Here is a 24,175-nt window from a genome sequence, read left to right as displayed (position 1 = left end):
TGCCTGTAATCACAACACTTTGGGAGGCCGAGGTGGGTGGATCACCTGAGGTCAGGAGTTTGAGACCAGCCTGGCCAACATGGCAAAACCCCATCTCTACTCAAACATACAAAAAAAATTAGCTGGGCGTGGTGGCGTGTGCCTACAATCCCAGCTACTCAGGAGGCTGAGGCAGGAGAATCACTTGAACCTGGGTGGCAGAGGTTGCAGTGAGCCGAGATCGTGCCATTGCACTCCAGCCTGGGCGACAAGAGCGAAATTCCACCTCAAAAAAAAAAAGTCAAGCAAGCTAAAATCTTCACAATTTATAATAATTTTAACTTTCATCATTCTGTTCTCTCACCAAAAAAGCCACTGTTTTTTTTACAGCTGATACATGATTGATAATTTGTATTTACCACTGCCCTTTGGCTTTGCCCGCTCTCTGAAGAATTAAATAACAAAAAGACAGGTTGAAAGGAGGTAACTGAAGAAATAATAATATTAGAATAATATATAAACCAGAGCACTGGTCATTGAATAATCACAAGTTGACTATATTTTAAAAATATAGTCATCATTTATCATTATAATCCAAGAAATCTTGTTTCTCAGTTAATAAAAATTTTTCCCATAAAATGACTTCTAAATGTCAGATGAATGTAATTCAAAGAATGAGAACATAAAATTAGTGTCTGTTTTCAGAAGCACCATTAAGGCTTTTTAGTAATTTCACTGACTTTTTAGATTTTCCAATTGAAGATCCACCTATAGACCTTTCTTTCAACTCATTACTGTGTAGTAGAAATAAACTTTGGGCAGCTCTTCTCAGCTCAAGGGCCCTGATGGATTTGAAAACTATTTTCCCCACAAAGGATGATTATACAGATTTGCTACAATCATCTTTGACTATTAGGGATTAGAAAGTCAACTGCTACTTGAGGTGAGGAGCTATAATTCATAAAGGATCTAGGTTAAGATGACAAGAAAGATTAGAAGATAATGTTGAAACTACTTAATCAAAAAAGATCACCCGTATTTAAATATACGTGTATTCCTAAAAATCTGAGAGGGCACTTTAAGGTAAGGTAAAGACTTTTTATCTTTTCAACGTTGTCATTAAAATGTTTGCTCCTAACTTAAAACAATTTATTATATAAAAAAGTGAATTCAATAAAGTAAAGGATAGGTTGAAGCTACTAAAAAAAAAATCATCCGTCGGTAAATACCCATGCATTTATAAAAACCTGAGACACCTCTTTAAGGTAAGGAGGAAGACTTTCTCTTTTAACTTCTCTAAAATGTTTGTCTCTTAAAGCAATTTACCCACTTGGAAAAGTGAATTTAATGTGTTTGTCTCTTCTGTGAAATTATTCCCTGAAACTCAAAGAAAACCATATCATTTTTCCACACACATATACACCCTATATAGAAATGTAAGTTTATATTGAAACATGGATCAAAGTTGCTTATAGACTAAAGGGCAGAGCTAAATTCTAGCTCATTACATCTCTGCTATGTCAACACCATGGGACTTATCTGCAGATTTTTCAAGATATTGAAAAATCTGACCTATTTTTAAAAATCTATCTTTAACAATATTAGCATAGGGTATGCCTGCTAGGTGTCTGTACATATGAGTTTCTAAAGGAGAAACTACTTTATAGTGCCTTCAGGACTCATGTATGAAATTCAAAAATAGGTTGCTGTGAAAGGTTGAAATAGATTTTGGTCCAGCTCAAATATTTGGTATACTAAGGAAGAGTAGAGTCAAGAAAATAATATTGACATTCTCCAACTCAGTGTAATCTGCATCAAAAGAAAAAAAAAAAAGGACCACCAGAGTTTTAAAAGAGAGGCCCTTAATTTTGGCCTTACTGTTGTAAGTTTTCCTCTTTGTTTTTGTTGGCCTTGGAGTCCTGTACCTGAGCATAGTTCTTGATGTTTTTTCTGGAGGGTGAGCAAAGAACAGTGTACACCATCTAGTGGCTCAGTTCAAAATTGCTGCAGTTAACGAAAGGCGAGTTTGAACAGGAAGCAGCAACGGGTGTTTGCAACCATGGGAATTAACAGACTTCATTCTTCCTTCAACATTTCTCCAAGAGGCTGAGAAACGCTGAAGTAGTTGCCATGAATTCCAGAGAGAAGCTCTCACAGTACACAAAAAGATTCAATCTAGGAAGTTAATTTAAATAGCCCACAGTTAAAATCCTACTTTATTTCAACTATGTATCTATAATTACTCTGCTTTAATGAGAACTTTTTACTTGCCTTCTTAGTACCAGAATTAATATTACTACTGTAATACTTTGTTCTATCAGGAAGTGGGCAACTTGGATGAAAGAGGAAATGGGTTCCATTTGTGATCATATGCTAAATGAATTGCTTCTTTAAATAATCACCAAAGCTGTGGTCGCCAGCCTATAAACTCATAGAGAGCCATGGAGCTAACACACAAGGAGTTCCTGAATCCACAATCAGAGGCACATTCTCTATAAATTGAATGCATAATATCTTCTATATACACTGGGTTCACCACTGCAGTTCAAATGCAATTAGTAAATTGCATTTGTAAATTGCAATTTGTAATTTTAGTAAATTTAGTAAATTTGTAAATTTACTAAAATTTAGTAAAAAAGCATTACTAAATTATCAATAATTTACTTGTTACATAATTTTCATCAACAAATATTAGTATATCACTCTCATGCAGGAACATGCAAAAATATGTTTATTTATATGTAAATTTTATCAAAGGTAGATTTTTAAAAGAAATTTAATGGTGTTGATTTCTGCAGTCCCACTTCTAGGAATTTACTCTTAGAAAATAATTATTTGCATGTTCCAAGATATTCATTTCAGTGTTGTTTATAACAGCAAAAACAAAGAACCAAAATTAAGTGTTTTACAATTAGAAATCATTGAATAAATATTAGTTTAGCCATACCAAAAGAAATATCATACTACTATTAAAAACTATTAATGAACATCTACATTTATTAAAATGAAAATAGCTTACCATATATTTAGGTGAAAACAGCATATTACAAAAGCATATACACCATAATTCATGTTTACATATTAGTGAGTGAGCAAAGAAAAATGTCTAAAGGTTGTTATTTTCTTTATAATACAGATGGGGTCTCCCTATGTTGCCCAGGCTGGTCTCAAACTCCTGGGCTCAAGGGATTCTCCCACCTCAGCTTCCCAAAGTGCTGGGATTATGGGTGTGAGCCACCATGACCGCCTAAAAGATATTTTTTATCCCAAGAGAAATAAGTCATTTATTTTACAAAGCATAATAGAAAGAGAGGAGTCAGGATGAGCCCAAGGCTTTTGTCCTGAGCAAGTTGAAGGATAGAGTTGACAGTGGCTTAGGTGGGAAGGGGAATATTTGGAGAGAAAAGCCAGGGGTTCGTTTGGGGGCACTGGTAAGTTGAAGAGCCTATATGATACCCAAGTGGGGTTAGATTGAGGGTTTTAAAGTCATATTCTGGGGTTAACTTTATTAACTTTTTCTGTAAGGAGGAGGACAGTAGATATTTTAGGCTTTGCATCTCATTAGGTCTCTGCTCCAACTATTCAACTCTGCAGTTGTGGCACAAAAGCAGCATAAACTGTTGGGAGTGGCCATGTTCCAATAAAACTTTATTAACAAAAACAAAGTATTAAGTGTGGATGGAGGTGAGAAAGATTTAAAAGCAAGCTCTTGGAGCATGCTGGCTTACAGATTGAGGAGATGAAGAGCAACCAGCAAGGAGTATGAGCATGGAGCAGCCAATCAGGTAAAAGGAGGATCCAGAGAAAATGATCTCCTGGAAGGACACATTTGAAGGCGTGATCTACTAGGTCAAATGTTTCAGGTACATGATATGAGATGAGCATCGAGAAGTGACATTAGATTTAGCAACATGAAGGTTAATTTAACAACATTGTGTCCATGGAATTATGAAACTAAAAACCTAACTGGAACAGGTTGAAGTGAAAATGGGAACAGAAACCCTAGAAATCTTGAGCAAAGACAACTTTTTTGAGGACTGTTTATATAAAGGGAAAAAGAGACATGGGATAGGTAGAAAGAAGAGGATATTGATTCAAGAGATGTCTTTTTTAAAAGTGACCAATATAGCAGCATGTTTCCCTGCTGATAGGAGAGATCTCATAAAGAGGGGAAAATTAATGACGCAAGACATAATAAAATTGCTGGAAGAAATATCCTTGAGTATTTGAGAGGACCTAGTACACAAATAGAGAGCTTGACTTTAGAAATGAGCATGGAAGGTCCATCCAGGCTAACAAAAGGAAGGCACAGTACAGGTCTACTGATGCAGGTAATTTGGTAGGTATGAGGCAGGGAAGCTGTGGGAATTCTTTTCTAAATGTTTATATTTTCTTAGTGAAATAGAAAACAAGGTTATCAGCTAAAAGTAAATCAGGGAGCAGATGTTAGAGAGTTGAGGAGAAAGAACAAATGTGAAATAGTCATTTAGGACAAAGGTGGGCAAACTTTTTCTGTAAGGGCAAGATAGTAAATATTTTAGACTTTGCAGATCATTAGATCTCTGCTGCAACTATTCAACTCTGTGGTTGTGGCACAGAAGCAGCCAGAGACAATACATAAATTGTTGGAAGTGGCTGTGTTCCAATAAAACTTTATTAACAAAAACAAATGGTGGGCCAGTTTAGGCCCATTAGCCCCTCGATCTGAGAGAATAGGATAATTAATGGTCTAAGAAAACATAATAGGAATTTCAGGCAACAATAACATGAATGTAAAATGAGGCTTATTCACATAGCGATGTAAATTTATCTAGTCACATTCAGCTCTGTGGGTTTTCACATGGGGCTGAATATAGACAAGATTTGGTTCAGCTATACAACTACGAAGGATAAAGCAAGAGGCAAGAGAGTTGAGTGTGTATGCCAGGAAATTACTGCAAAGATGAGCTATGAAAACTAAGCTGAATCAGGAGGGAATAAAGATATGATGGTATGATGTATGAGGAACAGTGAAAAAGAGTCAGGCTTAATGGATTTAGGCCTTGCTACTAGCCCTTGATGCTCAGATACTCTTCCTGAGGGAAGAGGACAGTTCATTAACTACTTTATTAAAGAGTAAGAGATAAATTGTGATTCAAACTTGTTGAGTGACTGCATAGAGCAGCCAACGTTTTGCAGGTAAGAGTGATGTTACTCCCCATTTTGTCACCAGGAAAATGAGAATCCAAATCTATTGAGAAGTAGTGTTTGAATAGATTTGTACTGTAAACACAATACCATTGAATAGATTTGTATTGAATAGGTTGTATTGTAAACAGTCTTGTTTATAATAATATCTAGTTTCTCAGTTATTAAAATTACTCCTTTTCTTCCTCTTTTTATTACATAAAAATGTTCTTGCCTACTCCTTCTCCCCAAATGCTACATATACCCACTGTCACGTGCCAATTAATGGTCTTTTTCTTTTGCTGTCCCCCATTTTCTTTGCCTCTTAGCTTTTACATGTAGCTGTGCTTTACTTTTTATGGGCTGTGACTTGAAGAGGTTTATACTCTTCCTATTTTTTCCTTAAAGACCTTTCTTTTGTTGGATTTCCACACTTTGAGATGATGGCTTTTTTATTTTGGCAGATTCTGCACTGGTGATAAATGTTACCAAGATCTAAGGAGGGGCCCTATTTGCTGTTCACACAGTTCAGGCTTTACTCCCCTTCTTAAACTCTTCCAGGCCTTTCTACTGAGAGCAGTAGAGTTTGTGGAATTCAGGGACCTCCACCATCTTGGCTCTTGTTTTCTTCCACTTTACATCCCATTGCTCCTTACACCTCCACTACACGCCAGCCAACTGTTAGGCACCCAAAGGTGCCTAACAGTTCAACAGCCACCATGCCTTTGTGACACAGATGGCATTGATGGGACCTCCCTGAACCCCTCTCCATCTGTCCATTTCTCACCCTTCCTTCAGTGGCCCAACACAAATCCACCTGTAGTTATTTTCCAAGACAACTGAAAAAAGCAATTACTCTTCTCATGCCTCATCTTTTTCTGTACTTTGGACCTCTATTACATCATTAACTACAGTCCGTTTTATGTTACATTTACATGTGTATATAAATTATCCCTCTCTGGGACATGTGCTCCTGGCAGAGATGCTTACATTCTTTTCTGTTTCATATACAGCACATAGTAGGTGTCTGATATAAGTTAGTTAAAAATTAAATGAAATCCCTTATCCTTCTCATGCAAATGTCAGTTGTTAGCTAGTAAGTGTAAACCAATGTAACTCTTAAAAATATGGGTACTCGTTTCACTTCATCCTATCCACATGTCCAGATATCATCATCTTCTGGAAACCACACATTCTTGCCTCCCTATAACTCAAAATAGTATTTTGATTCAGTTCTGTAGTAAATCCATACTTCAACAATTGCAAACTTTTGTTAAGTCATTAGCATCTCAAAGAAACTTTGTTTATTTGGAGATGTTTTGCTTGGAGAATATTTGTGAAGAAACTAGAGAAAGGGGACAACGAAAGAACAACCTTTTACAGTTTGTTTGTAATGAGGCTTGTACTTTACATAAGTTATCCAATTCAACTGAATTCTCACAATAGCTCTGTGAGGTAGATATTATAATCAACATTTTACTGATGAAGAAAACCAAGGCTCCTAAACTGACACAGTTAAATGATATCAAACCTGGTTTGTATGACAATATACTGTCTTCCATTTTAAAAAGCAAATTGTACATAAATCTGTAATACTGAACCAAGTAGCTAAACCTACATACTTATTTAATTACCTTTTCACCTTAACCAAATTGTTTCACTTTCTCTATTTAAAATTTCAAAGTATTGTTTGCAAATAACAGAACTCCAATTCTATATCACTTTAAACTATTTTGTCTTTAATTTAACAAACACTTATTGGGCATCCACTATGTGCAAAGCATTTTTCTACACATTAGAATTTCAGTGGTGAGCAAGACAATCCTTGTCTTACCTATGCAGTTAGTACACTAGCATAGAAATAAATCACTTGAGGCCAGGAGTTCAAGACCAGCCTGGGCAACATAGCAAGATTCCATCCCTACAAAATATTTAAAAATTACCCAGATATGATGGCACACACCTATAGTCCTAGCAACTTGGGAAGGCTGAGGGGGGAGGATCCCTTGTGCCCAGGAGTTGGAGGCTGCTGTGAGATATGATCACATCACTGCACTCTAGCTTGGGTGACAAAATGAGACCCTGTCTTTAAAAAAAAAAAAATTCTAAAGGTAGGCATTATCAAGTGTTATCACAAAAGAAGGGTAAGGGAGCAGAGAATGATAGGGAAGGGCTTTCTAAATGGCACTGTCAGGAAAGGTCTCTCTTCCAGCAGACACCTGACTTAAATGATGGAGTGAACCATGAGAATATTCAAAGGAAAAACATGTCAGAGGCAGAGAGAAGAGCAGATGCAAAGGCCTGACACAGGAACATGTTTGGAGTGTTGCAGAAGCAAAGCAGCCGGTATGGTTGGAGCACCGTAAGTGAGGCAGAGTGTGGAAAAGAGCTTGGAAAGGTATCCAGGGCCAGGCCGTGTGATCTTTGCAGACCATTCTGGAAACTTGAAAATGTATTCCAAAGAGAAGGAAATGACTGAATAGAAGTGAATGTCATCACCTGACTCTGGTTTTAGAAGGACTTTCTCAGTAAATTGTGAAAAATAAGCCAAAAGGGGACAAGAATGAAAACAAGGAGACCCGTGAGGAGGCTGTTGCAAAGGTCTATGGAATATAGGGGGTTTACTGGGCCACATGACCAGGAGGGCAGGGCAGTACTGGCCTAAGAATGACTAAGAAACAAAATTTCAAAATCCCATCAGGATGCCTTCTCTGAAGGTCTCATTTCTCACAACACGAGCTCCTTCTTTGCTCAGACCTGCTTCTCTATTGCTGTAAGCAGCTCCAGGATTTGTGATCAGAAAAGAAAGTGTTCTCCTTTCAGCTCCAGTGTGAAAACCCCTCGCAAGGACCTGGCTGGATCATGCAACCCTCTCTAGACCAGTCACTCACATTCTACTGCTGTGTGTACAAGCCTGGCTTGGTGGGTCAGGTAGTGGGGTGCTCTAGAAGGGGCAGCTAGAAGGGAGAGCAGGATGAAAGAAGTTTGCATTTTCTTTATTTTTTAAAGATATAGCAGGGCACCCTGTGAAGACAGCAGAAGAATGTAGTGTCTGGGGAGAGATTGAATAGGGCACGCTGCTACCTAACTAAGCCAAACTCCAGTGATTTCTCCTATCTCTAGATTTTTTTGACACAAATCTTCTACACCACTGCCCTGTTCCTTTCAAATGGCCTCACATGGATCTGTATCAGTGTTTCAAATACATTGCAAATGTCCCTATGGAATAAAAAGGGCGATAATGCCAATTTCACTGGCAAATCCTCTAGCACCTCTGGTGGGATGGTGCTGGGCACTAGTGGATTCTCAGGAAAGATACGCACATTGGCCCCAACCAGAGGAAATTGGAGCCATGCTTTCTTAAAAAGTGTTCCTCAGGAGCCCAGAAGCAGTTTGTCAGAAATACATCCATCCATCCATAATCAGTTTATTGAATGAGCTTCACATATGAGGCCAGCCAAAAATAACTTGATTTTTTTCAGCCACCGATTTTCAAACCCTCTCTGTTGGATAATTTATCTCTCCCTGTAGGTTGTACCTTGAAAAGTTCTAAAGCAGACCCAGCCACTTTGGACCATTAAATCATCCAGTAAATACATTTAAAGTTTCTCCATCTCCTACTGTATCAGGAATCCTCAAGACCACCCCCAGGTTCAGTGACTCACTAGGAGAACTAACAGGATTATAGAATAGCCATACTTACAGCTATGATTTATTACAGCAAAAGGATACAAAGCAAAACCACCAAAGGTTAAAGGCACACAGGGCAAAGTCCCAAGGAAACCCAGCTCAAGCTTCCAAGAGTGCTGCTCCTGTGGAGTCACATGGGACACATTCATTTCCAGCATCGAATGGTGACAACACGCTTGAACTGCTATCTACCAGGGAAGCTTGGTTAGAAACTCCAGCCCAGGGGTTTTATTGGGGGCTGGTCAGGTACACATCTTCTAGAACACACCAAAATTCCAGGCTACCAGAAGAAAAGGAAGTATTCAGCATAAATCACATTGTTTATACCAACAATTTAGGTACAGAGAGCTACCCTTATCAGCTAAGGTAGTGGGAATGCTCCTGAAATCTCAGTTCTCAGATGCCAGCCAAAGGCTAGCTTTGCAGGCGGCCCTTTCTGAGGAAGCAGCCTTAGGCCTGCTATGTAAACTCTTTCCTGCACACCTGTGTTAACATGAGAGTGAGCCAGGCTGGCCTGCCCTGAAGGAAATCAGCCATGCTGTGTATTCTGGTTTCACCATGGATACAGCTAGAGGAGGGTGTGGGGCAAACGAAGAAAAGCTCTTACTTGCCTGGTTTCCAAGACCTGGCTTCCTGCTCCTCAGGAGGCAACTGATATAGAGCTGAGTTTCTCTGGTGATGAGCTGTCTTTATGAGTTCTGTTGTGAGTCTCTTTCTGAAGACATCCTACTGCCCCATGGGCTATACCCACCACATAGCTTTTATTATGGTCACCTTCAACTGGCAATTAATCTTCTTGTGGTGGGAGGGGGTGTCCTTTCAAAACAGCTCTGGCCAAGCAAGCCTCCACTGCACCAGCTTAGCCCACAGGAAGGTACCAGGTACCATTGCCCCACCAAACCCAGAAGTGCAGGTGACTTCTCCCCCAGCTCTCCCTCACACTCTTGTGACAGACAGCTTCCCCCCAGCCTTATGCCTTCAGACATCTCCCTGTGCCTGTCAAGCTCCAGGAGACATGCACACATCTGATCCAAGAATTGTGCCACTCTCTGCCTCATCTTTAGGGTGGAGGGTGAGAGGATCATTATTTTCTCTTATTGATGGAAAATGCACAGTATTCCCATAACGACTTAAAAAAAAACACCTACTCACCAATTGTCTTCTACATCTTTGTATATATAGACTGAATACATGTGTGTGTACACACAGACAACCAGTTCAAACCAGTTTAGGGACCAAGTTATCAAGTCCTGCATAGATAACCCGGTATGTATCTTTAGATTGTCTTAGCACCAGGGTCTCAGCCTATATTCTAACACTGGAGAAGTGGCAAATATTCATATCATTCATAAATATATTCATAAATAAATATTACTTAGTATTCAGTGAATATCTAGTTTTGCCAGTTAAAAAACAGTGCCGAGAAAGGGGTAAAGGGATTCATCATATTGTTCTACATACTCTGACCTGCACTGCTTCGGTTCTTCACCTTTTCCCAGCAATCAAGATTGCAGAACCTCCTGGAAAGATGACTCTAGGCCTCATCATGGCCCTGACCATCCACCTTGGGCACATCTCCTAAGATCACGGACTGCACCTTAATTTCCCTTATGTGTGACAAGCTGTTGACTCAGTATAATCCTGATGTCCTGGCCCAACTGCTCTAGTACTTACTGGACATCACGCATACACATGCACACACCATGAAATGGCCATTGGAAGACTGTATGACAGATTCTTCTGAATCTTTGCAGTGAAATAGGCTTTAAAGTCAAATAAGTGCAACGGCACCAATAACACACTGAGTTAGCTAGAACAAATGCAATGATGGATTATCTAAAAGGAACAAAGTTATTGCTCACAGTTCTGATAATGCTACCAATTGCTTCCAGAATGATTAGGTGGCTCCACATGTCAGGAAAGATTTAATTAGAGCAGAGGCTACGATCACCGGATTGTCTAAGAAGAGAGTGGTCCAGATGGGAACTTGAGTAGGTAGAGCAGGCCCGCTGTCCAAAAGGACAGTGTAGATAAAAGCACGTTCCTCTTATTTGCACCATTGTGTCCCAACACATTTTCGCAGGCCTCAATTAAAAAGTTGATATTGTAATAATATAACATACATTCATTTATTTATTTATTTAGAGACAGTCTTGCTCTGTCACCCAGGCTAGAGTGCTGTGGTGTGATCTCGGCTCATTATAACCTCCACCTCACAGGTTCAAGTGATTCTCCTGCCTCAGCCTCCCGAGTAGCTGGGATTACAGGCATGAGCCACCACATCCAGCTACTTTTTGTATTTTTAGTAGAGATGGAATTCCAACATGTTGGCCAGGCTGGTCTCAAACTCGTGGCCTCAAGTGATCCACCTGCCTAGGCCTCCCAAAGTGCTGGGATTGCAGGCATGAGCCACCACACCCAGTCATAATACAATCTTTTAAAAAATTTTATTTTGTAATTGATAAATAATAATGTATAGGGTACACTGTGATGTTTTGCTACATATAATGTATAGTAATCATATTAGGGTAATTGGCACATTCATCATCTCAAACATTTATCATTTCTTTGTGTTGGGAACATTCAACATTCTCCTTCTAGCTATTTGAAGCTATGTAATATGTTATTGTTAACTGTAGTCATGCTACAGTGATATAGAACAATAGAACTTATAAGATTTCAGACATTGATCTAATTCTAATAATTCATTTTTTTAAATTAAGCTAATATTTAAAAATTATATCACAGGGCCTTGCCCAAGGCCTGGCACTTAGTAGGTGCTCAGTAAATGTTTGTGGAATCTGTGTGCCTTTTCCCAGTAATGACATTTACTGCTGCAACAGCCTGGAAAAATCTCTTTTCGGAATCATGATTAAGCTTAAGCCTCACTTTCTCACTGAAGTTTTAGTCATTTCCTCCCTGGAGCATCTATTGCTCTTCTACCTGGAGTACTCTGTATCCTATTTATCTGTTCTCATGTTCTCTCTCTCTCTCTGTCTACACAGTGGGCTCTGGGATGAAGGAATGGTGTACAATTCATCTTCATATGCTCAGAGGTTGGCATAATAACCAATAGGTACACAGTACAGTACATATTTTTGAATGAAATGAATTAGCTGCTTGAAATATGATTCTTTTTTTTTGAGACAGAGTCATGCTCTGTTGCCCAGGCTGGAGTGCAATGGCGCGATCTTGACTCACAGCAACCTCTGCCTCCTGGGTTCAAGCGATTGTCCTGCCCCAGCCCCCCAAGTAGCTGGGATTAGAGGTGCACACCACCATGCCCGGCTAATTTTGTATTTTTAGTAGAGACAGGGTTTCACCATGTTAGTCAGGCTGGTCTCAAACTCCTGACCTCTGGTGATCTGTCTGCCTCGGCCCCCCAAAGTGCTGGGATTACAGGTGTGAGCCACTGTGCCTGGCCCAAAATATGATTCTCAATTAGACCTTCTGATACCTTGTAGGTTTTCAAGTGAACAACTAGAGTTCACTTTCCCATATTTGAGTATGTGGGTTTTGCATCAGAAAACTCCTCTTATAAATCCTCATTATGTAGGCCACACCCATTTCCTTCCTTCTGCCCTCAATAACTTGGGTCAACTATGGGGCCATCATCTAAGATAATTTAAACTACATAACAATCATTTTTGCTATCCTGTTGCCATATCATCCACCTTATAAATAGCCCTGACTCCCTTAACCTTTGTCAAAGATTTTATTATCAAATGCTTAAATAATATATGTTGCTCTGCTACTTTAATTCATTTAGAGGGTTTACTATTTTTGACATGAGCCTTTTGGGCTGTGGAACAATAAAAAGTATGAGAATGATACTTTCTCCCAGAAAAATATGATCAGGAAGACATTGTGTTGACACTTGGAAAAGGGCAGTCATCAAAGCTCTAGAGTGTTTCATTGACATGTCTCTGAAATACACAACACTTTGTAAAACAGGAAAAAAAAACTAACCTTTGAAAGAGATGGCAGCTTTCATTCCCAAAGATTTTTTACTCTCCAAAAGTAAAAATAAAACTACATTTAAGTTCCTACTAGCATGCCAGGAAGTATTCAAAGTAAAACCGTTGATATTAAAATAACACGATCATAATTTAGGAATATATTAGTGAAAATATTTGAACTAAGATAAAAATAAGACTTTGAAGGTCAGTTTTGCTTAAACAGGTAATAGAAGTCCAATGTGAAATCACATTAATGTCACTGCTTATTAGCACTTCCCCAAGTTAAGTGTTCAGAACTAAAACTGTAAATCAACAAGGTTTTATTGAAAACCTTTGCCCTTGGCACAATTAGGTGTTATCATAGTTCTGGAAAGAAATAATATATGGCCAGCCTTTGAAAAGCTTACAAACCTCCTTTGCTTAAAACTGACATATGTGTTGCATGGGTGACATCTATCCTAGAAGCCATAGAATCCTTACCAAAGTCACCCTTTCTTCTTTTTTCCTTCTTTAACTTCCTCCCTCCTTCACATCTTCTGGCATCCATCACAATCTTTTCCACCTTCCAAAAAAATAAATTCCATAGTCTCTTAGCTAGCATTCAGTCATTCGTGCTATTCGTTGATCAATATTTACTGATCCATTAATATTTCTGATTACTATGTTATGCCTAAATGCTATAGGGATGCCAGAGTCTGGCCCAGTACTATGTGCTGAGTTCTGTGCTAGGCATGAAGCTACAGAGATGATAGCATCTGGCCTTCAGGGGCTCATAGATCTTTTGGGGGTGACAAGCCAAAGACAAGCCTTTTAATACACTGTTTCATCACTTGGCAAGTGATACAGTAAAAGTATGCATTTAGTCCAATCATTGCAAAGATGAGGGAGTGATGAAACGATCCTCATAGTCAAGAAAACTGACCCTTAGATACAGTTTTGAACTATGAGAGACAAGCTCTCTTCGTTCTTGCACAGCCTCCTAAATGTGCACTTTTTTTTAGATTTATACACCTTAAACTCACTTAAATAACTTCATCTCCAGGGATTATGAAAATCTGGCTTGGTATGTGCAGAACAAGTAGGAGGTAAGGGAGAAAGTGCTGGCCACCTTTGGGTTAATTCAGAACATTTGCCAACTCATAACTGGATTCTGACCATAAAAACTCTTACAGAGTTAAACTTTCCAGACTAACTGTCCGTAATGATAAAATCATCCCCAAATACACAAAATGTTTCCATTTATTTGTAGTTTGAAACTATAGTAGAGCCCAAATATAACAGAAAAAAAGTAGCAGAGCTTTTTCCTATTTATTTATTTAATAATATCTTAAATTATTTATTCAATAATATCTATCAAGCCCTTCCTAATGTGTAAAATGTGTAAATATGTAAAATGTTTTACTGTGTGTCTGTTTCTATCTCCAGAAATGCATTAGCCAGCTTGCTAGATCTTTGCTGAAAGACTGAATGGTAGGATTAAACTAACTAGCAAATTTTAAAACATTTATGTTTCTCAATTGCATTTACTATAAAATTGAAGACTTTTTTTTAAAAAAAAAAAAAACAAAAAACCTCTAAGAGCCCATGGCAAGGAATATTCAATATTATTAAAGGGAAGCATCTTTCTTTCAGGTTATTTGTTTTCAACAGCATGTAATTGCTATTTGAATTTGCTTCAATGAGTAAATATTTCACAAATATGTATTCTAGCAGTATGATGCTTCCAAGATATCATTTATTTTGTCCGTTCCTAGAAAAGAATACCTTAAAACAGAAATTATGTAATTATAAGTAACATAAATTATATCAAAAACTCAAACCCAACAAAAATGTATAAAATACAAATGGATTTTAAATGTATGAAAACATGCTACACCTGTAGCACAAATAAATGAAGATTTAGATTTTAACTAGACATCAATTGTTCACTCACCATACTGGCAAAGATACAAATGTAAAAATGGGTTCCAACAAAATGTAAAATGTACCTATTCTTTGGCCCAGAAATTTCACTTAGAAGAATCAACCCTACAGATAAATTATCCACATGTGTTATGTATCTGCAAGGACACTCAACACAGCACTGCTTGTAACAGCAGCAACCTTCAAAGCATAGCCCTTCTGTCCATCTCTACTGTCCCCTCCTAGCCAAGCTGCTATCTTCTTTCATCTAGATCACAGAAGGAACCTCTGCCTGATCCTCCTCTTTTCCTTCTTTCCCTCCTACAACCTCAATAGTAGCCAGACTGATATTTTTAAAACATAAATCAGATTATGTCATCCTGCCACTTAAACCCCTCCTATGCCTTTTTATCATGCTTAGCATAAAATCCACCATGCTTATTCTGGCTCATGAAGACCTGCATTTCAGCCTGTGTCTGCCTGCTGACTTCATCCCATGCCTGTTGGGCCCTCATCCAAGGTGCTCACAACACACAGGCTTTCTCTCTGCTTCTCAGACACAACCAACTCATTCCCACTTCTGCACCAACTGCTTCAACTAAAGTAATAGAGAGGCACTCACTCTCTAGCACATCATCCCATTGTATTTCTCTTTATGTCATCTGTCATCACCTGGCTGTGCTCCTATTTGTTATTTATTTATCTGTGTTGTTCATCCTCTCTATCATATAAGGTCTAGGAGAGCAGGGATATTGTCTGCCTCGTTCAGTTGTGTATTATCAGCAACCAGAAAGGTGTCTGCATCTAGTGAGTGTTTAGTGAATGTTTGTTGAATGAATTAACCATCAGAAGGAAATGGAATCAATTATAGAATGCCCATCAAATGGAATACTGTGCAGTCACTTAAAATAATTCAGTGGACGATAATGCCAGTGTTATCTTCTGACCATGTCCTTCCACACTGCACTGGTCTGCCCTGGGCCTCTCTCCTCAACTTCATCTCAGATCCCTGTGTTCTGGTCTTCTTGCTGTCCTTCACACATTTCAAACCTGTGCCTCAAGGTCTTTGCACTTGCTATTCTTGCACCTGCACCCTGCACAGCTCCCTTACTCACTTCAGCCAATTCTCTCCTCACAAGTCATCTACTCAGAAAGGCCTTCCCTGAGCACTGTCAAAACTCACTACCCTTGCCGCTCCCTCTCCCCAGCCCAGATTTATTTTTCTTCTTGCACTTATCATTTGAAACAAAAGAGCTTATTTACTTGTGTCTGTGTTTGTTGTGTGCTTCCCCTGACTAGTGTGTACCCGGTTTGCTGCTTACCACGACCTCCCCAGCAGGTACAACATTGCCTAGCATAGAGTAGCACCAAAACAAATACTTGATTAATGGAGAAAGAAAGAATGAATATATTATTAAGTGCTAAAAAGCAAGACACTAAACAGTATGTCTACAGTATGCTGCTGCCATTTGTGTTAACAAAAATGACCCATATATATAATGTCTCTGGAAAGAAAACCCGAGAACACAGTAGCAGAGATTGCCTCTGTGGTAGAGAACTGAAAGGCTGAGGGTGGGCCGAGGGTAAGAGGAAGACTTATTTGTTCTGTATGTCCTTTTTTTTTAAGATTGTATTTTTACCATGGGCATTAATTATTTTTTCAAAACAATTGAGGACTTTGTTATATCTGACAGTTTTGCAAGCTTATGTATTTGAGACCAAAAATATCAAGGCCTTCACAAATGTCACATCCAATTGATAAACATTCAATAACCATCTATTTAGCAAGTCTATATTCTTGGCACAGCCCTTTGCAATCTCTTGTTTGGATATTCATGAAAATTTGGGGGTTGCAAAGGATACGTATACTTTCTGCTGGAAGAGGTTTACATTCCTTAGATGTAAAATGTGGGAGGAGACACAGTAGTGTGGATCTCTAGTACAGTAAGGCCTTCATGAATACAAACAAGACCCCTGGACATTTTATAGGCCAGGAAAACAGCCTCTGTAACCAAGGTATTTTGAATCTGCTTGCAAGGTTGAAATATGTCCTTACTGTTTAAAAAAAAAAAAAAATCTGCCAACAGATTCTACCCACCCTTAACTGGCTGATTTTCTCAGTGTTTTTTCTGGCTCCATAAAACAAATGTACTCTGCTTTAAGGAAACCAGCTATTCAAATATCCAGATTTATAGGAAATCATTTAAAGGAATGTCTTCTTGCTTTAAGGATTCATTCAAATATCATAGTAATAAACACATTTAAAATATGATTCAATATAAAAAATTATACACAAATTTCAGAAACACCATCACTGAACACTCAGGAACTCAGTAATTACTTGCTGGATGGATGAACATACCTATTGAAAATCAGTAGAGTGAAATGGATAAGAGCGTGAGTTGGGGTCCAGATATCCCCATGTTTGGATTCTATCTCTGCCGTTCGGTACCTGAGTCTGACCTTCAACAAGTGACTTACCCTCTCAAGGCCTTTTAGTGTTTCTAAAAAAATAAAATGAATGAGTAATGCCTCCTTTGTGATTAGTTGTATTAAATGAAAGATGTGAGCCAATTTAGGTAAATATACTATCAGTATATTTTATCATTTATTATTTCCTTCACTTAATTTCTACTTGCCTGAATGTGAACAAATGAACAGCAAGAACGCAAGTGTTGTTGTATTTTCAAAGCTATAATATAGATCAATATAATTATATATTTAATGTACATATATGTGGCACATAGTAAATGTTTGGTCAATGCTGGTTATTATTGCAAAAAGTAATAGGGAATTCCCGGAGAGTTTGACTCCTTTTTCCCATCCACAAAGACCAACTTTGTGGATAAGATCTCAGGGCATTTTATTGCTCTGGTAGAAGGAGGGGTAAAAGACTGTGTAACTGAGATTTGTATGGCCTTAAAATTATGGGAAAACAATTAGCAGGTACATAAGTTAATTGTGGCAGAGATTCAGCTTGTTACGATTGCTAACATCTATTTCCTGTGTGATGATTAGTCATTCTGCAGAGTAAATACTGTGACAATATCCTCTCCAAGTTTATTTTACAGTATTACCTGATTCCTACTTTCTTAATTAAAAATATTAAATGTAAATGTTTTATTTCATTTCCCAAGACTAGAATAGAATTTTGGGTGTTTGGAGTGGAACGGGCAAAAATGGTACAAATTGCTTGAAATTTAGAGATGAAATGAAATGCTCCTTCAGATGATGAAAAGTTTTTTCTTCTCCAATTTTCTGGCTTTTTCTTTCTCCTAGCACTACCTGTTTGTTTAATAAAGTTGAGAAGTCTCGCAAAGGGCCTTATGAACACCTGTTATTATATTTTAAATCTGATTTGAAAGTGCCTCTCTCCTACTCCCTCTGAGTAAAGTGACCTTTTTAAATGGAGGGAAGTGGGTTTAGATGACAGTCATGATAAATGCGGTCATGTTCACTCAATAAAATAAGGCCCAGTGCATTTGAGGATAAATCAGTGAAATGTACAGCCCCACCTGTCTGTCTCCATCATTCATCTCCACTGTCACTTTCACAGTGGCTGATGGATCACAGTTGCTGTAAAATTAGACAGCCTTTAATCTCATTTCATCCTGATTAGCTTCTCTTTCCCCTTTCCCTCTAACTCACTGACTGACACGCTAAAAACTCACACTGGGCTGTATGTGAACCTGGAGTACAAACCTCCCCCACTATCTGCTTGCGAGGGCGAGGCACTTGTCCACCTCTGGAGAAATCTGGAAAGGAGCAGGCATGTATCTGTGGTTATTTAAAAGAAAATCAATAAGTACAGTACCCAAGGCCATTTTAAACAATTGTTTGCTCTTGTTCACTACCCTATTTATTTTGCTTTTCTTTGGGCTTAATCAGAAGTCAAAGAAATTAGGTCTTTTGCAAAATTCAAACATTGATTGAATATAGATTTTTTAAAATAAATTTGGGAGAGTTTTACATTCAGAATAATGTCAAAGAGCATTTGGGTATATTTATAGCCTCTCAATTCACAGTAATAATTCAGAAAAGACAATAATTCAGGAATGAGAATACTGAAATGCTCACCCAAGAAATATAGCAGACAGGTTTTAAAACAAAGGTAAAAATGTGTAAATAGATGAGAATTCCTTCAAGTAGCCTTTAAAGTAGGACTTCAAAGACCTTCTTTTCTCTTATTTTGAAGAGTTCAATAGTTAGCTCAGTGCAATAGTTTCATTTGTTTGCATAAAGCATAACAATAGGGGTAATCAAATGAAAAAGAGGCTTAAAAATAAATCATGTATTATTTCCTTCACTTAATTTCTGCTTGCCTGAATGAGAGCAAATGAATGGCAAGAACAAAACACAAGTGTCATTTTATTTTCAGAGACTGTACTTTATTATGAAGCTGGACTTCTGTTTTTTTTAAAAAAAGATAATACCGTTTTTCATTATTTATAAGATTTGGGCAAAATGTTGAACTGACCAAAAGTTTAAAAGAAATATTTGAAGAGCTGTGGTCATAGAATAAGTTCGTTGTAGCCGATGGCCTCTATGACTGCACTGTATCTCATGTGAATTGATGCATACAGCTGACAATTAATGCTGAGTAAGTTTACCACTGGCCAGAGGACATTACCATCAACTGGAGTAGCACCAGGTTGTTCGTAATATGACAAGGGAAGCTTCGTTTTGTTTTTGGTATTTTGGAACCAGCATTATGATCCAAACAATGATGAACTAATTAAAGGGAAGAAAACCTTTCAAACATATTCTACCTCTGTTGCTCAATGAGCCTCACGTGTACTCTGCCACAATGAATTCTGAGTAGTGAAGCCTGTAGCATCTACGCAGGTAAAAGCGTTTTTCACAGAGATAAACTGAGGATTCATGGGCTAAAGGACATTCTTGAGATGACTCTCGAAGTCAATTGACCTAATTCATGGACCGCGCAAACCACTGCCCACCCAATTTCTACATTATGCCCCAGATTGGAGGTTTACACACCAATGCCTTCCGCCTTGTGGATGTAAGTTCAAAAACAATGCATATTTACAGTACAAATAAATAAGTCAGTAGGTAAATAAACAAAACAAAACTCCTAAAATCCCTTGGTAAGAAGCTTAAATGATCTGATTTGCTCTTTCAGAGGCTGTGTTATGAGTCTCAAACCTGTACCTGTTTCTTATTTTTTATTTAAATATCTTAGCCAGCGTAAATGCTTTCTGAGAAAAATAAAAGATAATAAAAACAAAATGAAATGAGAGCTATATAGCACCCAAAATAAGTCAGGCGTGAGATAGGTCTCCTCACTTTCTCTCTCCCTGCATTGGCAAAGGAGCACAAAGTAAGAGTTGGCCCTGACTCATATTGATTTCCCACTGCACTGGTTTCTTAAGTGCTCTGTTGATCCGTGTCAAGGAATAAGTTCCCTGCCTGAACATGCACATCACCTCCCCATTTGTCCTCACCTAGATTTAAGGTGCCCATATGATGAGCTGAACAAGGACATCATTTTTCCTACTGGGCCCAAACCACTGTAGGAGATATGATAACTAATGCTGTATACGTTTACATTTACCATAGGATATTATTGTAGCAGACACTAACACTGCACAGCACAAAAGGAGACAGGAGCATCCTGTTCTGGTACTTTGTGTCTCCCCAAAGGAAATGTAAATCAGAACAAATACAGAGAAAGCTGGCATTAGTGGGTTTCTGAATAATGCCCCCTCCTCACATCCACCACATTTGGGCAGAGAGAAGGGAGAGGCAAGGAGAATAGATATTTGTGATGTTCCTGACAGTTTTCATCTTTGTTACAGAAGAGCTCCTAAGCAGATAGATAGAGAATGTGCGATTGTGCTGCTAATGACATTGTACAGGATATTAAGCGTATACATTTGGAGGAGGCATTAAATCAGCAGGACCTTAATTTAAAAACTTAAAACTGTATGGAAATTCAGCTTGTTCATTGCTGTGGAATAGAAAGCGACCAAGCACCCTGAGTCTGTTTATGGAAAGATTGCCAGCAAACCACGTTGGGCAGAGCATCTTAATGGCTCCAAGTGTATTCAGGGTTACTTCTTCCAAGAAGTAACCCCAGCCCTGACCATTTAGGAGTGTCAGTCATTCAGATCACTATCCACATCATCAGGCAGGCTAGGAGAACCTAGGAATCGAAAGCAGCATGACAGGTTGTTCTTGACTAATTTCTGGAATCACATTATGTAAAATTAGTCAAAAGGGGTTGGGTTTGAAACCGCTGGGAACACACCACCGAGTCACTGCATAGGGATCCCTGGATTGGTGAGTAGTGGCTTGGCCACCTGTTCAATCTTCTTCCTCTGACTCAGTCTCACATTTTATGCACTTCAGTGAAACAAATAGCCAGTGAGCCAAGGTAGCAAATCCTGAGATGGAAAATTTCATATGTCTTTTTTTTTTTTCTTAATTTCAGTTATGCCATACAACAGTGCCCACCACTGCGTTGTGGAGGTGGAAAACTTCTTGTTCGTGTTGGGTGGAGAGGACCAGTGGAATCCGAATGGTAACTATTGAACAACTTAATTGGAGGTGCTCAACAAGTATGTGTGTAATGAAGGGCATCAGTAGCAGTCCATTTTGTAATTAGTGTGGAAAATACATTTCTGTGCAACGGGGACAAATGAAGTAGTAAGGAGATGGGGCTGACAATTGGAGAGAGGGTCAATCATTGAGCTAACTGGGGACATGTGTAGCAGAGCGATCACTCATCAACTGTCTGGGGATTTGGCTTCACAGTGATACCCCAGCCCCTCTCCTTATCCATCCCCTGAGGAATGCCACAAGCATGAGCACAAACTCCCTAGAGGAAGGGAGCAAAGCTGCAGCTGTTAAGAATCCTCACCATCTTCTCCACCACCTTTCTCCCATTTTATCAATATAATAACGTGGGTTGCAATACATAAGCATTATGTCCAGTCATGCCGCACATAATTTTAGCTGAAATTATTTGGCAGCAGGTATTACTCAACATCCATTCCAGTTGCTGTACCTTTTGCAAGTGCTTCTTCCATAGATTATCCACCATCCTCCCCGTAGATGTGATTACATCATAAACTTATTGCAAAGAGAAATTAAACATTTTAACGCACGTCCCAAATCGAACACAAGAACCCTGTGGCTTGCAGAACATGCAAAATTATCAAGATATTTTTGGAAAGCTTGCACATGAAGGAGGAGTTGCAGTTGTAGCCTTCTGTGTAACAGAGATAATTGTGACTGAGAAACCATAAAACAGCTTGCAGGTACACATTTTTACTTTAAAACCCCAGAACATCCAGCTGAAATTACATATACTGCATATATTTTATTGTGAGTGCTCTCTTTCAGCATCTGCACCAAGGCAAATTATAGAAAATTGTTACATCTGTTCACTCTAGAAAATCTTCAAGGAAAACAATCCAGGCCACCCTTCAAGAACATTTCTTTTAAGAGAGAGGGACATTCTTTCTCAAGACCTGCAGCTTTGTTGTGCCACATTTTCTAGTGTTGGAAAGAAGATGGTTCCTGGGCTTTGTGAGAAACTTGGAACAGGAGCAAGGATGATATTTCATATCTCTCCCCTAACTTACCTTTGTAATGATGGATTCGGTATGTTACCAGAAAACCCTGACATGCGCACAATGCATTGTAAACTCCTCATTTACTATTTAACTTATCCTTCTTTAGATGTGATTTGAACTGGAAGGAGCATTTGTAAGCAAACACATAGTGTGCAGCCACTGGGTTTATCTAAGCAAATAATCTGCAGAACATTCTTTTTGAAGGCCAGGTTAAAACTAAAACATGACAAGAGAAAACAGGAACATCTTCAGCCTACTGCACTTTGCAGGTAGAATAGACCTCTGTTAAAATAGCAGTCTTGTTGCCACAATTCATTCTCACAAAACACTGTGAATCTCCCTGACTTAAGGTCTTAAGTCAGATCTTAAGCAGCAACACAGAAAACCTGTTCCAGAGGCATATGCAAAAAAACAAAACAAAACAAAACAAAACAAAAAAACACCTGTAACTACTTGCTGTTCAATTTCTAATCAAAGGCACATCTGAGAGAATTGGGTGGGGGGAACACGGGAGAGTTGAAAGGACATATTCCTTCCTCTAGTCTAGAGAATCAAGATTTTATCTTTGAACTAATTCAGACTCCCATAAAATCATGCTGTTGGATTACACTGATTTTCTCTTTCCCAGCCCTGAGAGGAACAGCAGTTGGGTTTAAAGCCATCAGTGAATATGCTGTGAGAAATGACTAGAAACAGCACACAACGGCATTTACCATAGGGATGGTTCTCACCATGGCCACTCATGGGCTCTCTATGAAGCCCCAGAGGATAAATTCTTTAGACCAAAGTACTGAGGCATTGTGTGCTTTTGAAAAGTATTATTAATGCTAACGATGTGACTATTGTGTCTCTTTTCTTTGCTGTAACCACTAGGATGCACAGAATTAAATTTTAGTATAACTTTAATTACTATATTTTAATTTTACCTTTATCCTTAATACAGGCCTGGGAGTGCTCTCTCTCTCTCTCTCTCTCTCTCTCTCTCTCTCTCTGTGTGTGTGTGTGTGTGTGTGTGTGTGTGTGTGTGTAAGATCCCTTTTTAGAATTTTGGAAGCTTCCACATGAAAGGCTGAGTCATTGTGTCCCTGACTCATTTGGCACGTGAGGTCATTTAGTATAGATCTGGGCAAAGGAGGCTGGACCATGGGCTGGGCTCACCTAAATAGAGGAGAACTGGTTACACCTTGCGGCAAGCAGGCCAGCCTTTTGCACTTCATGTCAGTTATTGGCCAAAGCCTTCCCCCAGGTGGGGGATGAGGGAAGGCAATGAGGTGGCCTGTTCAGCAGGAGGAGCCGCCGTGACCATGAGCAGCCAGCATTCAGCAGCCAGGGAATGGGTGCACCGGTCTGGTAAAGGAATCTGGGCTAATGAACAAGAGCACCCACCACAATCCCGTGAATGGTTTCTATACTCCATCCATCTGGTCAACCATAGTTGACTTCGTTAGTATTAGTAGTAGTACTTATTGAGTACTCCTTATTGCCAGGAACTTTGCTAAGCACTCAACTGCATCATTTCACTTAGTCCTCACAAGCATCCTGCAAATCATTCCATGATAGCTCTAGTTTTACTATGAGAAGACTAAGCCTGAAGAGGTTAAATGACTTGCCAGAAAACATAGCTTACAAGAAGCTGAGCTGATTTCAACCTAGGTCTATCTGATTTCAGAGCAGTCATCTTTAGCCACTGTAATACACTGTGTTTCACGTAAACATATGTATTTGGTTAGATGTGTAACAGTCATGCTTTTGCTTTTGATCTTGTGAAATTAAATCAATATTTGATCACATGGATAGTGGCTCCCACTCACTCACAAGGAACTCCTTCATCAGTCCTCATTTTAAAAACTGTGAAGAGACTCAACCATCTCTAAAATATGA

The 24,175-nt window shown here is 38.8% G+C and overlaps 1 protein-coding gene and 1 long non-coding RNA gene across 2 annotated transcripts in view; one reads left to right on the top strand and one right to left on the bottom strand.

Annotated features, from left to right (window-relative positions):
- KLHL14 (kelch like family member 14) overlaps positions 1-24,175 on the top strand; it is a 100,351-nt gene that overhangs the window by 56,324 nt on the left and 19,852 nt on the right. Inside the window, exon 4 of the mRNA NM_020805.3 lies at positions 21,148-21,237. Coding sequence (NP_065856.1) covers positions 21,148-21,237 — 90 coding nt within the window. The remainder of the gene's footprint in view (positions 1-21,147; positions 21,238-24,175) is intronic.
- LOC112268208 (uncharacterized) overlaps positions 1-24,175 on the bottom strand; it is a 53,523-nt gene that overhangs the window by 21,752 nt on the left and 7,596 nt on the right. The window lies entirely within an intron of this gene.

Source organism: Homo sapiens, chromosome 18 (genome assembly GCF_000001405.40).
Source record: "Homo sapiens chromosome 18, GRCh38.p14 Primary Assembly".
NCBI classification, from domain to species: Eukaryota; Metazoa; Chordata; class Mammalia; order Primates; family Hominidae; genus Homo; species Homo sapiens.
Note: the sequence above shows the minus strand (reverse complement) of the source record. Positions and strands in the feature narration are given on the sequence as shown.